General features: G+C 39.9%; 1 protein-coding gene across 2 annotated transcripts in view; it reads left to right on the forward strand.

The window, feature by feature from the left end:
• Positions 1 to 16,369, forward strand: part of BNIP3L (BCL2 interacting protein 3 like) — a 30,074-nt gene that overhangs the window by 10,669 nt on the left and 3,036 nt on the right. For both annotated transcript variants that reach the window (NM_004331.3, NM_001330491.2), the window contains exons 3-5: positions 1,508 to 1,580; positions 14,278 to 14,381; positions 14,505 to 14,654. In NM_004331.3, the coding sequence (NP_004322.1) occupies positions 1,508 to 1,580; positions 14,278 to 14,381; positions 14,505 to 14,654 (327 nt within the window). The remainder of the gene's footprint in view (positions 1 to 1,507; positions 1,581 to 14,277; positions 14,382 to 14,504; positions 14,655 to 16,369) is intronic.

The following is a 16,369-nucleotide window of genomic DNA, read 5'->3' on the forward strand; positions in this document are numbered from 1 at the left end:
CCCAACAGTTATGAGCACAAAGATAGTAAACTGAGGCCAGTAGGAGTGCCCAGTTCGGGTTGACTCCTGTGCTAGTTCAAGACAAAAATTTCCTAAATATATATGACGTTGGTTTGATACAGAACCAGCTTTTCTGTTTTCCTGTCCCCATTTAAAAATCTCCTATGTCAATTATACTAGTCTAAAAGACTCCTAGGCCTAATCTGTCTGATAAATTTCTGACGATCTTATTTCTGAGTCAGTCTCACCAACGTCTCTATACATTAATTAACATTATATACATACTCTTGATAACTTTAATAGTTAATATCTATTCTTTTCAGCAAGTTAAGCCCCAAATATTTTTTATTTCTATTTTAGATTTTGGGGGAGGGTTTGTGTATGTAGTGAAGGATCCCCAGTGACTTTCAGTTTTTATACAAGAAATCATTAATAAAGCTAAGAAATTAACTTAGCACATTCTGTTCATCTCTTGTATCAAGTGCAGTTTGTGATCATGTTGTTTTTGTCTAAAAACTTATTTGTAAATTTTTACAGTTCTAAGAATGTATTTTGTGCAATCATAAAGGTTTTATATTAATATATAAGTTATATAATTCACTCTGAAATATCTCAAAGCAAATATTTCTGAAATAAGTAAAATAGTGGTTCTCAAAGTTTTTGGTCATTACATACCTTTACATTCTTAAAAATCATTAGGGACCCCAAAAAACTTGTTTGTGGGTTTATATATTTTGATATTTACTATATTAGAAATTAAAACTGAGAAAATATATATTCATTCAAAAATAATACATTTTAACATAAGTAGCATTTTTTAGTGAAAATACCTATTTTCTATAAACCCTCCAAGTTAATAAGAATAGTGGCATTGTTTTACACATTTACAAATCTCTAATACCAAGCTTAATAGAAGACAGCTGGTTCTCATCTGTGTTTGCATTCTAACTGTTGTGCTATCACACATCATGTAGCCTTTGGAAAATTCCACTATACACATGGGAGAATGAGAATGAAAAAGGCAAATAAATCCTACTAGTATTGAGAAAGGAACTGTAACCTCAAAGACCCTCTGAAAGCGTCTTTGAGAACTACCTTATGCACTTTGAGAACTACTGGTGAATTATTTAATGATGAGGGAACTTTGAGAAAAAGAACTCTGAAGTTCCTGAATTTGAAGATTATTTTACCTTTAGTGGACAAAAGAGTAAATATAAGAGAATGTGACAGTTTGTGTCTGTAGATAGTATTTCCTTTGCAAATTTATCATTTTGAAGGATTTCATTACTACTGAAAAAGTGCAGAACATTTTGGGAGTAAGAATGCTCAATTTCATTTAGCCTTTTAATATCACATAAATTTTTCTTGTATAGGGTTATGATATATTCTCTGATTTGCTTTTTCAAAGCCATACTGCTGTAACTTTTAATTTTCTAATTTCTAGTAGAGACTAAGTCATTTGACAAAGTGAGAATTAAAACTAATAGCTGAATTCCTTCTCTTCTAGCCCTTCGCCACAAGAAGATGGGCAGATCATGTTTGATGTGGAAATGCACACCAGCAGGGACCATAGCTCTCAGGTGTGTCGGGGGGATTCTGATTTACAGTAAACAATTAAGAAAGATGTAAATTCTCTAAGTATATTTTGCTAAAATAAATGTGAAGACTTTTAGGAATAGTTTGAAGCTATTATTGAGTTTCTGATTTTGGAATTTATTTAGGATGATATAGTTCTTGTCGCACTCCTTTACAACTAAGGATTTTGGGCCCTGTCACTCTAAACGAATTGGAAAATTCTTGTCCATAATAAATCATGCCAATACTCCAGGCTAGTTTCTTGAGTGTATAAGTAGAAAAAGACTGAGATAGATGCTTTAAGACCACAGAATAGGGAGGAGCCAAGATGGCTGAATAGGAACAGCTCCGGTCTACAGCTCCCAGCATGAGCGACGCAGAAGACGGGTGATTTCTGCATTTCCATCTGAGGTACCGGGTTCATCTCACTAGGGAGTGCCAGACAGTGGGCGCAGGCCAGTGGGTGCGCGCACCGTGCGCGAGCCGAAGCAGGGCGAGGCATTGCCTCACCTGGGAAGCGCAAGGGGTCAGGGAGTTCCCTTTCCGAGTCAAAGAAAGGGGTGACGGACGCACCTGGAAAATCGGGTCACTCCCACCCGAATATTGTGCTTTTCAGACCGGCTTAAAAAACGGCGCACCACGAGACTATATCCCACACCTGGCTCGGAGGGTCCTATGCCCACGGAATCTCGCTGATTGCTAGCACAGCAGTCTGAGATCAAACTGCAAGGCGGCAGCGAGGCTGGGGGAGGGGCGCCCGCCATTGCCCAGGCTTGCTTAGGTAAACAGAGCAGCCGGGAAGCTCGAACTGGGTGGAGCCCACCACAGCTCAAGGAGGCCTGCCTGCCTCTGTAGGCTCCACCTCTGGGGGCAGGGCACAGACAAACAAAAAGACAGCAGTAACCTCTGCAGACTTAAATGTCCCTGTCTGACAGCTTTGAAGAGAGCAGTGGTTCTCCCAGCACGCAGCTGGAGATCTGAGAACGGGCAGACTGCCTCCTCAAGTGGGTCCCTGACCCCTGACCCCCGAGCAGCCTAACTGGGAGGCACCCCCCAGCAGGGGCACACTGACACCTCACACGGCAGGGTATTCCAACAGACCTGCAGCTGAGGGTCCTGTCTGTTAGAAGGAAAACTAACAAACAGAAAGGACATCCACACCGAAAACCCATCTGTACATCACCATCATCAAAGACCAAAAGTAGATAAAACCACAAAGATGGGGAAAAAACAGAACAGAAAAACTGGAAACTCTAAAACACAGAGCGCCTCTCCTCCTCCAAAGGAACGCAGTTCCTCACCAGCAACGGAACAAAGCTGGATGGAGAATGATTTTGACGAGCTGAGAGAAGAAGGCTTCAGACGATCAAATTAGAGTGAGCTACGGGAGGACATTCAAACCAAAGGCAAAGAAGTTGAAAACTGAAAAAAATTTAGAAGAATGTATAACTAGAATAACCAATACAGAGAAGTGCTTAAAGGAGCTGATGGAGCTGAAAACCAAGGCTCGAGAACTACGTGAAGAATGCAGAAGCCTCAGGAGCCGATGCGATCAACTGGAAGAAAGGGTATCAGCAATGGAAGATGAAATGAATGAAATGAAGCAAGAAGGGAAGTTTAGAGAAAAAAGAATAAAAAGAAATGAGCAAAGCCTCCAAGAAATATGGGACTATGTGAAAAGACCAAATCTACGTCTGATTGGTGTACCTGAAAGTGATGCGGAGAATGGAACCAAGTTGGAAAACACTCTGCAGGATATTATCCAGGAGAACTTCCCCAATCTAGCAAGGCAGGCCAACGTTCAGATTCAGGAAATACAGAGAACGCCACAAAGATACTCCTCGAGAAGAGCAACTCCAAGACACATAATTGTCAGATTCACCAAAGTTGAAATGAAGGAAAAAATGTTAAGGGCAGCCAGAGAGAAAGGTCGGGTTACCCTCAAAGGGAAGCCCATCAGACTAACAGCGGATCTCTTGGCAGAAACCCTACAAGCCAGAAGAGAGTGGGGGCCAATATTCAACATTCTTAAAGAAAAGAATTTTCAACCCAGAATTTCATATCCAGCCAAACTAAGCTTCATAAGTGAAGGAGAAATAAAATACTTTACAGACAAGCAAATGCTGACCGATTTTGTCACCACCAGGCCTGCCCTAAAAGAGCTCCTGAAGGAAGCGCTAAACATGGAAAGGAACAACCGGTACCAGCTGCTGCAAAATCATGCCAAAATGTAAAGACCATCGAGACTAGGAAGAAACTGCATCAACTAACGAGCAAAATCACCAGCTAACATCATAATGACAGGATCAAATTCACACATAACAATATTAACTTTAAATGTAAGTGGACTAAATTCTGCAATTAAAAGACACAGACTGGCAAATTGGATAAAGAGTCAAGACCCATCAGTGTGCTGTATTCAGGAAACCCATCTCACGTGCAGAGACACACATAGGCTCAAAATAAAAGGATGGAGGAAGATCTACCAAGCAAATGGAAAACAAAAAAAGGCAGGGGTTGCAATCCTAGTCTCTGATAAAACAGACTTTAAACCAACAAAGATCAAAAGAGACAAAGAAGGCCATTACATAATGGTAAAGGGATCAATTCAACAAGAGGAGCTAACTATCCTAAATATATATGCACCCAATACAGGAGCACCCAGATTCATAAAGCAAGTCCTGAGTGACCTACAAAGAGACTTAGACTCCCACACATTAATAATGGGAGACTTTAACACCCCACTGTCAATATTAGACAGATCAACAAGACAGAAAGTCAACAAGGATACCCAGGAATTGAACTCAGCTCTGCACCAAGCAGACCTAATAGACGTCTACAGAACTCTCCACCCCAAATCAACAGAATATACATTTTTTTCAGCACCACACCACACCTATTCCAAAATTGACCACATAGTTGGAAGTAAAGCTCTCCTCAGCAAATGTAAAAGAACAGAAATTATAACAAACTATCTCTCAGACCACAGTGCAATCAAACTAGAACTCAGGATTAAGAATCTCACTCAAAGCCGCTCAACTACATGGAAACTGAACAACCTGCTCCTGAATGACTACTGGGTACATAACGAAATGAAGGCAGAAATAAAGATGTTCTTTGAAACCAACGAGAACAAAGACACAACATACCAGAATCTCTGGGACGCATTCAAAGCAGTGTGTAGAGGGAAATTTATAGCACTAAATGCCCACAAGAGAAAGCAGGAAAGATCCAAAATTGACACCCTAGCATCACAATTAAAAGAACTAGAAAAGCAAGAGCAAACACATTCAAAAGCTAGCAGAAGGCAAGAAATAACTAAAATCAGAGCAGAACTGAAGGAAATAGAGACACAAAAAACCCTTCAAAAAATCAATGAATCCAGGAGCTGGTTTTTTGAAAGGATCAACAAAATTGATAGACCGCTAGCAAGACTAATAAAGAAAAAAAGAGAGAAGAATCAAATAGACAAAAAATGATACTACAAACACCTCTACGCAAATAAACTAGAAAATCTGGAAGAAATGGATACATTCCTCGACACATACACTCTCCCAAGACTAAACCAGGAAGAAGTTGAATCTCTGAATAGACCAATAACAGGAGCTGAAATTGTGGCAATAATCAATAGTTTACCAACCAAGAAGAGTCCAGGACCAGATGGATTCACAGCCGAATTCTACCAGAGGTACAAGGAGGAACTGGTACCATTCCTTCTGAAACTATTCCAATCAATAGAAAAAGAGGGAATCCTCTGTAACTCATTTTATGAGGCCAGCATCATTCTGATACCAAAGCCGGGCAGAGACACAACCAAAAAAGAGAATTTTAGACCAATATCCTTGATGAACATTGATGCAAAAATCCTCAATAAAATACTGGCAAACCGAATCCAGCAGCACATCAAAAAGCTTATCCACCATGATCAAGTGGGCTTCATCCCTGGGATGCAAGGCTGGTTCAATATACACAAATCAATAAATGTAATCCAGCATATAAACAGAGCCAAAGACAAAAACCACATGATTATCTCAATAGATGCAGAAAAAGCCTTTGACAAAATTCAACAACCCTTCATGCTAAAAACTCTCAATAAATTAGGTATTGATGGGACGTATTTCAAAATAATAAGAGCTATCTATGACAAACCCACAGCCAATATCATACTGAATGGGCAAAAACTGGAAGCATTCCCTTTGAAAACTGGCACAAGACAGGGATGCCCTCTCTCACCGCTCCTATTCAACATAGTGTTGGAAGTTCTGGCCAGGGCAATCAGGCAGGAGAAGGAAATAAAGGGTATTCAATTAGGAAAAGAGGAAGTCAAATTGTCCCTGTTTGCAGATGACATGATTGTTTATCTAGAAAACCCCATTTTCTCAGCCCAAAATCTCCTTAAGCTGATAAGCAACTTCAGCAAAGTCTCAGGATACAAAATCAATGTACAAAAATCACAAGCATTCCTATACACCAACAAGAGACAAACAGCCAAATCATGAGTGAACTCCCATTCACAATTGCTTCAAAGAGAATAAAATACCTAGGAATCCAACTTACAAGGGATGTGAAGGACCTCTTCAAGGAGAACTACAAACCACTGCTCAAGGAAATAAAAGAGGATACAAAGAAATGGAAGAACATTCCATGCTCATGGGTAGGAAGAATCAATATCGTGAAAATGGCCATACTGCCCAAGATAATTTACAGATTCAGTGCCATCCCCATCAAGCTACCAATGACTTTCTTCACAGAATTGGAAAAAACTACTTTAAAGTTCATATGGAACCAAAAAAGAGCCTGCATCGCCAAGTCAATCCTAAGCCAAAAGAACAAAGCTGGAGGCATCACACTACCTGACTTCAAACTATACCACAAGGCTACAGTAACCAAAACAGCATGGTACTGGTACCAAAACATAGATATAGATCAATGGAACAGAACAGAGCCCTCAGAAATAACGCCGCTTACCTACAACTATCTGATCTTTGACAAACCTGAGAAAAACAAGCAATGGGGAAAGGATTCCCTATTTAATAAATGGTGCTGGGAAAACTGGCTAGCCATATGTAGAAAGCTGAAACTGGATCCCTTCCTTACACCTTATACAAAAATCAATTCAAGATGGATTAAAGATTTAAACGTTAGACCTAAAACCATAAAAACCCTAGAAGAAAACCTAGGCATTACCATTCAGGACATAGGCGTGGGCAAGGACTTCATGTCCAAAACACCAAAAGCAATGGCAACCAAAGCCAAAATTGACAAATGGGATCTAATTAAACTAAAGAGCTTCTACACAGCAAAAGAAACTACCATCAGAGTGAACAGGCAACCTACAACATGGGAGAAAATTTTCGCAACCTACTCATCTGACAAAGGGCTAATATCCAGAATCTACAATGAACTCAAACAAATTTACAAGAAAAAAACAAACAACCCCATCAAAAAGTGGGCGAAGGACATGAACAGACACTTCTCAAAAGAAGACAGTTATGCAGCCAAAAAACACATGAAAAAATGCTCATCATCACTGGCCATCAGAGAAATGCAAATCAAAACCACTATGAGATGTCATCTCACACCAGTTAGAATGGCAATCATTAAAAAGTCAGGAAACAACAGGTGCTGGAGAGGATGTGGAGAAATAGGAACACTTTTACACTGTTGGTGGGACTGTAAACTAGTTCAACCATTGTGGAAGTCAGTGTGGCGATTCCTCAGGTATCTAGAACTAGAAATACCATTTGACCCAGCCATCCCATTACTGGGTATATACCCAAATGACTATAAATCATGCTGCTATAAAGACACATGCACACGTATGTTTATTGCGGCATTATTCACGATAGCAAAGACTTGGAACCAACCCAAATGTCCAACAATGATAGACTGGATTAAGAAAATGTGGCACATATACACCATGGAATACTATGCAGCCATAAAAAATGATGAGTTCATGTCCTTTGTAGGGACATGGATGAAATTGGAAACCATCATTCTCAGTAAACTATCGCAAGAACAAAAAACCAAACACCGCATATTCTCACTCATAGGTGGGAATTGAACAATGAGATCACATGGACACAGGAAGGGGAATATCACACTCTGGGGACTGTGGTGGGGAGCGGGGAGGGGGGAAGGATAGCATTGGGAGATATACCTAATGCTAGATGACGAGTTAGTGGGTGCAGCACACCAGCATGGCACATGTATACATATGTAACTAACCTGCACAATGTGCACATGTACCCTAAAACTTAAATTAAAAAAAAAAAACAAAAAAAAAAACCTACCAGTGGAGGTACAAAATAAAAAAAAAAAAAAAGACCACAGAATAAATGAAGATGAAGGTTGTATTAGAACTAGACATGAAGACTTTTTTTTGCATCTGAAATCAAAGCAGTGGCTTTTGAGATAAATTTTAAATTTATCTAAATTATGCAGGATTCCTTCAAGATAAATATTGTTTACTAGGAGTTGACAATGTTGGAAACATAGATGGATATAGTATTAAAATCTTACAAATGTTTGTGTTATAAGACTTAAAATATGGTAAGTATATAACTGTGGCTAATGATTTAGAATACTCATAGCCAGCCTTTAACTTTATTGATATGTAAGATCACCTAAAAGTGTCATTAGAGTACAAATTCTTGAGGACGGGAACCATTATCTTTTTCTCCTGTATTTAGGGTGCTTGAAAAATGTTTAATGAACCTTTGAATGAGTCGCAACAAAAACCTTGTTTTGTCGGGTTCTCACTATTCTGTGTCCTGGGCACTAGAAATATTTTGTGTGTCTTAGATCCACCCAGTATTCTTTCTGTTTCCAAAGGCCACAGAATTCCTCTATACTTTACTATGCTCTATTTTTGCTTTTCTCTGAAATGTCGAAAATCTTTGGATTCAACACAAATTTATTTTATGATGATGAGCTTTATACTGTAGAGAAGCTCACAATAGCAGGCTGTCGTATATAAGATGATCTGACTGGAGCATTTGAATTGCTGGCTTATGTATGTCAGTTTGGCCACATGCAGTAAGCTATAGCTGATGTAGAAGAAAGCTTACAAAGTCTCCATAGCAGAAAGTGTACCACGGAATCCAGGAGAGAAATCGAATTCTTTGCCGTGGTCTTTCCTGAGGAGGATTTCTTCAATCTATATCACCTTTTATACAGAAAGCTTTAAGTTTAGATTAGCATTTTCCAAAATGTGTTTTCAAGAACATTTGTTCAAAGGTCAAATAAATGGAAGGTAATGCAGCCCCAGGTTCCCCCACACTCTCACCTTAGTAGTCGCATGAGTAATTCTGACCAGTTCCTGCAGTAAAGAAATTATAGTTTAAGCTGGACATGGTGGCACTTGCCTGTAGTCTCAGCTACTTGGGAGGTGGAGGTGGGAGGATCCCTTGAGCCCCACAAGTTTTTGAGTCCAGCCTGGGCAACATAGCAAGACTCTCTGTCTCTAAAAAAAAGAAAAAAAGAAATGGGTTTAATTAAACCAAATGTTTCCCAAGCTTATTTGACCTTAGACTTTCTTCCTCTTCTCTGCATACGTTTTTCCCTTAAGAACTTAATAACTCCGTGGAGCACTGTGGTAAGTGCTTTCCTGGCTCATGGAGTTGCAGATGTGCAATCAGGCTTAACTCAATATTGAATGTACATGGAATTCTAGAGTTGAATGCATCTACCCTGGAATTCCAAAGGAATTTTTGAAATTCAGGAAAGAAAATGTCAGGTTTTTGGCCTTTGGTAGGTTTGCCAGTGTTGATCCCTTCTCAGGACCAAATCCCTAAAAGAGCATAGGCTATCATCAAGAGGAGGTACTTACTTTATGTTGACAATCAGATCGGTCAGTTTCAACAAAGGGAAGAGTTTGGAAAGACAGCCTAACCCCTGTGAGAGATAACAGTTGAGTAGGACTTAATAAGGGAGCTGTCAGCAGGTATAGTTTAAACTTTCAAAAACCTTTGACATTGCCTTTTTTTAATGGAAGAAACAATAATTTAAAAATTAATTTCTTTAGGATTTGGGAAAATTGATTTTCTTCCTGAATAAGAAGAAAGTTTAGGGTTAGGAAACTTAAAAAAGCAGTTAAAGGACTGTTATTGTACTTGATCTTATAGAATGTTTTTATATGTGTTTATAAGGACTATATATAATTTTCAAGCTTTTCTAAGATGAGGAAGTAAAGTCACTAACATTAACTAGATATGTTCTAGGTACTCAGTTTCTTTTTTTTTTTTTTTGGAGACAGCGTCTCAGGGTCTTGCTTTGTCACCCAGGCTGGAGTGTAGTGGTGCAGTTGTAGCTCACCACAGACTTCGATTCCCGGCTCAAGCAATCTTTCTGCCTCAGTCTCCCTAGTAGCTGGGACTACAGGCTCACACTGCCACGCCTGGCTACTTTTTTATTTTTTTTTTGTATAGACAGAGTCTCGCTATATTGCCCAGGCCGTTTTCAAACTCCTGGCCTCAAATGATCCTCCCATGTCGGCCTCCCAAAGTGCTGGAATTACAGACATGAGTTACTACTCCCACCTCTCTTTTAATGTTCTCAATCCAGTGAAAGCAATGATATTATCCCCATGGACCAGTGGAAAAAGTGAGGCTTTGTACTAATTACTTATCTAAGATCACAAAGCAAGTCACTGTTAGAGCCAGGATTCAAAGCAGGTCTGAGTCTGTGGCCCTTGTTCTTTCTACTGAACTAAGTAAATGAATTCGATTGATAACAGGAGAGCTCACAAAGCCATGAGAATGAACTGAAAAATGTCTGCTGAGTTATGGTATGGGGAATCTGCCTAAGGCAGTGTGCACTTAGGAAAAAGACCATGAAACTGCTTTTCGGATGATCATCCTCAAGAGTCTCAGTTTTGTATCAGAAAACAGACTGTAGATTGTTTCTTCACTTGATCTTAGCCAAAAGTCCGAGAAGCGATATAGATTATTTATTGAAGACATTTTTGCATTGTGTTTCTGGGACCAAAAATGCCAGCACAATGTTGAGTGTTACTGAAAAATGATCCAAACAGAAAATATCCTCCATTTCCTGTCTTGTAAAACTGTGATTTTTATCTGTACATGAATCATGGTATACAGCTTAATATCCATATTTAGAGGACAGAGTGACCTTGAGGTAAACCAGAGAAGGAAAACTTAAGTGATCAGAAAACAAAGAACTCCATGTGAGAGAACAGGCTAGAACGATCAGAATCTTCTTTGTTTTTGTTTTTTGTTTTTGAGATGGACCTCACTCTGTCACCAGGCTGGAGTGCAGTGGCATCGGCTCACTGCAACCTCTGTTTCCAGGTGGTTCTGCTGCCTCAGCTGCCCAAGAAGCTGGGATTACAGGTGTGCACCACAACGCCTGGCTAATTTTTGTATTTTTAGTAGAGACAGGGTTTCGCCGTGCTGGCCAGGCTGGTCTCAAACTCCTAACCTCAAGTGATCCGTCCACCTCGGCCTCCCTAAGTGCTGGGATTACAGGCATGAGCCATGGTGCCCAGCCAGAATCTTCTTTGAATAGATGTAGGTATAGAGAGAGGATTATTGATTTTAAAAGCACAAATCTTACGTAATTAGATTAAGTACATTTTTACCATATTCTGGAATTCTAAGAATTGGAAGGCAGTTTAAAACCTGAAAGTGGCAAATTTAAGATTAATAAAAGGAAGCACAGAGTGGTAGTGAATGAGGAAAGCTTACCACTCTTATTCTTAAAGTATTGTAAGTTGGGAAACTTATGGAGTTCTTTTTTGTTTTGTTTTCTTTTTAAAACACTTGTCCAGAGATAACTTTGCTTCATTCAACTGAGAAAATTCCATCCTCATGAAAAAAAAAATTAGAGCGTGAAATCTTACTGCGTTTCATTCTGTCAGAAATTATGAAATATTAACTTGTTAAATCTTTGAGCAGGTTTAAAGAAAGATCTGTGAGGCCAAAGCAGGAAACTAAACAGAAGCGACCTGCAGTGTGTTGAGTATAGTCAGATATTGTGTGTACAGGAACTGATGTGCAAGTAAATTGTAACAGTTTATTGTTTTTGATTTGGGATGATTTCAGTGTTACTCCAAAGAGCCAACTCATGATTCTGAGTAATCTCAATAGCCAATGGAAGGAGCTTAATCCTAAATGCTACATTGTGTCATTCAGTGGAATTTGCCAAGTTCAGCAGAACTAGATAAGATTGGTACTAACAAGAGCAGCAGAACGCACAGGGGTTTTACTTTGCCCTGTCTGAAGCTCCTTCCTGGGGTAGCTGTTTCACAGAGAACTAGACCTGTCAAGAGTCATGTGAATATGTCAGACTCTGCATTTCTTAGCTACCTACTGAAAAGAATGACAGCTTTGGTCATTCTTTTGAGTGAATCCTAGTCAAACAAAATAAAATGTCAAAATGCTTCTTAGTTTTGAGACCCCTGGGTTTGGGATCATAGCATGACATCCCTTAAAACTGACTATGACCAGGCACGGTGGCTCACGCCTGTAATCTCAACACTTTGGGAGGCTGAGGCGTGTAGATCACTTGAGGTCAGGAGTTCGAGACCAGCCTGGCCAACATGGTGAAACCCCGTCTCTACGAAAAATATAAAAATTTGCCAGGTGTAGTGCCAGGCGCCTGTAATCCCAGCTACTCTGGAAGCTGAGGCAGGAGAATTGCTAGAACCCAGGAGGCAGAGGTTGCAGTGAGCCAAGGTCGCGCCACTGCACTCCAGCCTGGGTGACAGAGCGAGACTCCGTCTCAAAAAGAAAACTGAATAAATAATACTGAATAAATAAATATCATTTTTAGGACTTTTTCATTCCTTTTGGTTCTATTAAAAGGGGAGCTATTGGAAATGTTAATTGTTCTTGGCCTGAAACTTTAGGTTATAATAAGCAATTTTTAAAAGTCACATTTTTTATTTTATTTGATATGACACATGTTAAATTCTGACTCAACTTATTATAGATTATTCCCAAAAACTTTTGGCTAACATAGTTTCGAAACCTTGGAAAATGTTTGTATAGCAATTTGTCCTAAAAATATAATCTCCTTCCAGAGAGTAAACCCTGGTGCTTAACAGTAGGGCCTCTCTATACAGTATTCCTGGGTTTGAATACTGGCCCTGCTATGTACTGGTTGTGGAACCTTAGGCAAGTTATTTAATCTATGTCTCAGTCTCCTCATCTGTAAAATGGGATTTTAATAATTATTTTTATAGGGTTATTTGTTGCAAGGTGAAAGTTAATGCATGTGGCTGGGTGCAGTGTCTCACACCTGTAATCCCAGCACTTTGGGAGGCTGAGGCAGGGAAGATCCCTTGAGCCCGGGAGTTCAAGACCAGGCTGGGCAACATAGTGAAACACTGTCTCTTTAAAGAAATACAAAAATTAGCTGGGCGTGGTGGCACACACCTGTAGTCCCAGCTACTTGGGAGGTTGAGGTGGGAGAATTAATTGAGCCCAGGAGTTCGAGGCTGCAGTAAGCTGTGATTGCACTCTGGCCTGGGTGACACAGGAGACCCTGTCTCCAGAAAAAAAAAAAAAATGCATGTAACATGCTTGGAATAATATTTGCCCCTTTAAGTGCTCAATAAATACTATTATTTATTTCCTCATCACATCTCTCACTTATTTTTGTTTTACTTCTCATCATTTTATTTTTAGCATATCCTTTTATTTCCTTTTATTTTTTTAATTATGAAATTTTTTTTTTTCTTTTTTTTGTTGAGATGGAATCTCACTCTATCACCCAGGCTGGAGTGTAGTGGCTGGATCTCGGCTCCACCTCCCAGGCTCAAGCAACCTCCACCTCCCAGGCTCAAGCGATTCTTCTGCCTCAGCCTCTCAAGTAGCTGGGATTACAGGTGCCCGCCACCATGCCCGGCTAATTTTTTTTTGTTTTGTTTTGTTTTGTTTTTTGAGGCGGAGTCTCGCTCTTTCCCCCAGGCAGGAGTGTAGTGGCGCGATCTCTGCTCACTGCAAGCTCCGCCTCCTGGGTTCACGCCATTCTCCTGCCTCAGCCTCCCGAGTAGCTGGGACTACAGGTGCCCGCCATCACGCCCAGCTAATTTTTTTGTATTTTTAGTAGACACAGGGTTTCACTGTGTTAGCCAGGATGGTCTCGATCTCCTGACCTTGTGATCCGCTCACCTCGGCCTCCCAAAGTGCTGGGATTACAGGCGTGAGCCACCGCACCCAGCGTGTAAGTTTTGTGTTTTTTTTTAGTAAAGACGGGGTTTTACCATGTTGGCCAGGCTGGTCTCCAGCTTCTGACCTCAAGTGATCCGCCTGCCTCAGCCTCCCAAAGTGCTGGGATTATAGGCATGAGCCACTGCACCCGGCCTAATTACGAAAATTTTAAGTGCATACAAGAGAGAATAATATAATGGACCTCCATGTAAGTATTGCCCAGATTTAACTCTTATCGAGGTTTTTCATACTTCCCTTAGCATTACATCCCAAAGTACAGTCTTATGCAGTTCCTGTGCTGTGCTTAGATATCCCAACAGTGAAGCTCACTCAGGTTGTTCTGAAGATATTACATACTCTGATCTTACATTATTTTTCAGCATTTTTTAGAAAAGCAACATGTTTGTTATCTAAAATTTCTGAGACACAACCTTATGAGTTTGGTATCTTTTCTGTCTAGATTTTTCTTTGTATTAGGAGGAATTGGTCTTCCTTTTTTTCTTAAAGTTTGAATTCTTCTTTACAGTCAGAAGAAGAAGTTGTAGAAGGAGAGAAGGAAGTCGAGGCTTTGAAGAAAAGTGCGGACTGGGTATCAGACTGGTCCAGTAGACCCGAAAACATTCCACCCAAGTGAGTTCTCACATGTTTCTTGTCAGTGGACACAGTTGATCTGCGCACGCTTACAGGCAATGGGCCTGGTAATCCCCACGATATTTTCAGCAAATGACATCTGCCTCTGAATTTCTTTCTCAGGGAGTTCCACTTCAGACACCCTAAACGTTCTGTGTCTTTAAGCATGAGGAAAAGTGGAGCCATGAAGAAAGGGGGTATTTTCTCCGCAGAATTTCTGAAGGTGTTCATTCCATCTCTCTTCCTTTCTCATGTTTTGGCTTTGGGGCTAGGGTAAGTACCGGTCAACTCCTGAAGTTTTTTCCATTCATTTTATCCTCTTATTTTCAGATTGAAGAAATGTATGTGAAAGCAGTTTTTATTGCTTTACTTTCAATGTTTTAGTGCAAATAAGGTGAACTTAAAAAAGTGGGTGCACAATTGTTCTACAAATAAGCATTTTTAATAATAGTAGAGTGTGTTTTCTTATTTGAAAATAAGATGTTTGGCCTGGTGTGGTGGCTCATGCCAGTAATCCCAGCACTTTGGGAGGCCAAGATGGGTGGATGACCTGAGGCCAGGAGTTCAAGACCAGCCTGGCCAACATGGTGAAACCCGGTCTCTACTAAAAATACAAAAATTAGCTGGCCATGGTGGTACATGCCTGTGGTCCCAGCTACTTGGGAGGCTGAGGCAGGAGAATCGCTTGAACATGGGAGGCGGAAATTGCAGTGAGCCGAGATCATGCCACTGCACTCCAGCCTGGGGGATAGAGTGAGACTCCATCTCGGAAAAAAAAAAAAAAAAAAGAAGATGTTCATAATAATCCCCTAAATGATCAAATGTAAGCGGACTCCTCTGTGATTGATTTTTCTTTTTGGGTTTTGTTGTGTAATATTTAATCTTGAGTAATTTATGAACTAAACTAATCTTTAGCATGTACATTTTGTGGTCAGTGCAAATACCTTTTTTTCATATGGGAAAATACATGATTACATTGAATAGTTTTTTTTAATGAAACTGGTAGGTTGATTGGTGCTAATTTTTTCCTTTTTTAACTTTGTAGTATTTTCATTTATTTTGCTAAAATCAACCTCATATTTACGTGTAATTCATTAGTTTCTTAGCCACATCTTTTAAATAAATTGCTTTTTTTCCTTGATTTAAACAATTGAGGAATTACACTTCTGAAAGATTTTAGGAGTTAAACAGTAGCTGTTAATTTTTTTCAAGACGTATGTTGTGCTCTAAGCATGCCCAGTGGGTCATTTTCAGTATAAGATATGCAGAAGATGGGGTCATCCTTTTTCTTCCCTTTAAGGAGCTCAGCATATTGGAGAGAGATTCTTAGTCACGACCTCAGAAACTTGCATACAGCTTTCCACACACCCGTCTTGTCTCTCTTGGGTGCTTGATCTGCTTTTGTGAGGGCAAGGACAGTAATCAACAAACAGCAACCTAGAAGGGGTTTGTGCAGAAGGGGACTGTGTGACTGTTGCGTGGGGGTTGATGTGGGGCAGGTGTAGGAGTTTAATACATTGCTGCCTATACAGCAGTTCATTGCCCTTAAGCGATTGGTGTCTATACCTTGCCGTCTCTCTTTCAGTCATCTTCAGATTGTTTGTCTTGGCTGTAAGTATAACTATTGCTATAGATGAATGTAAAAAGAGTGTTTAAAAAGTTCGTTGCTTTAATTGCACTGGAGGTGAAGCTAGTTACATACTTTCCTTAACTTCCCTTCTGCTTTTGCTGTTGAAGAGGCCAAATACTTTCTTGGCATGAAAAAGTATTATAAGGCCCCTAATCCTTAGGAGTTATTAGTAAGAGCTGTCTTTAAAGCACTGGCAGCTTTTAAGGTTTTTTTTTTCTTTTGTCCTACATAGAGCACCAGAATAATTTCACATATTACTATATTTTTGTGTCTGAAATGTCAGTAGAACCTTCTGTCCACCAAAGAGGAACATCTTGAAGGAGTTGGGCTGCTTTATTTACTCTGTGGAGGGATCTGT

The sequence above is a fragment of the Homo sapiens genome, chromosome 8, assembly GCF_000001405.40.
Source record: "Homo sapiens chromosome 8, GRCh38.p14 Primary Assembly".
In the NCBI taxonomy this organism is placed as follows: Eukaryota; Metazoa; Chordata; class Mammalia; order Primates; family Hominidae; genus Homo; species Homo sapiens.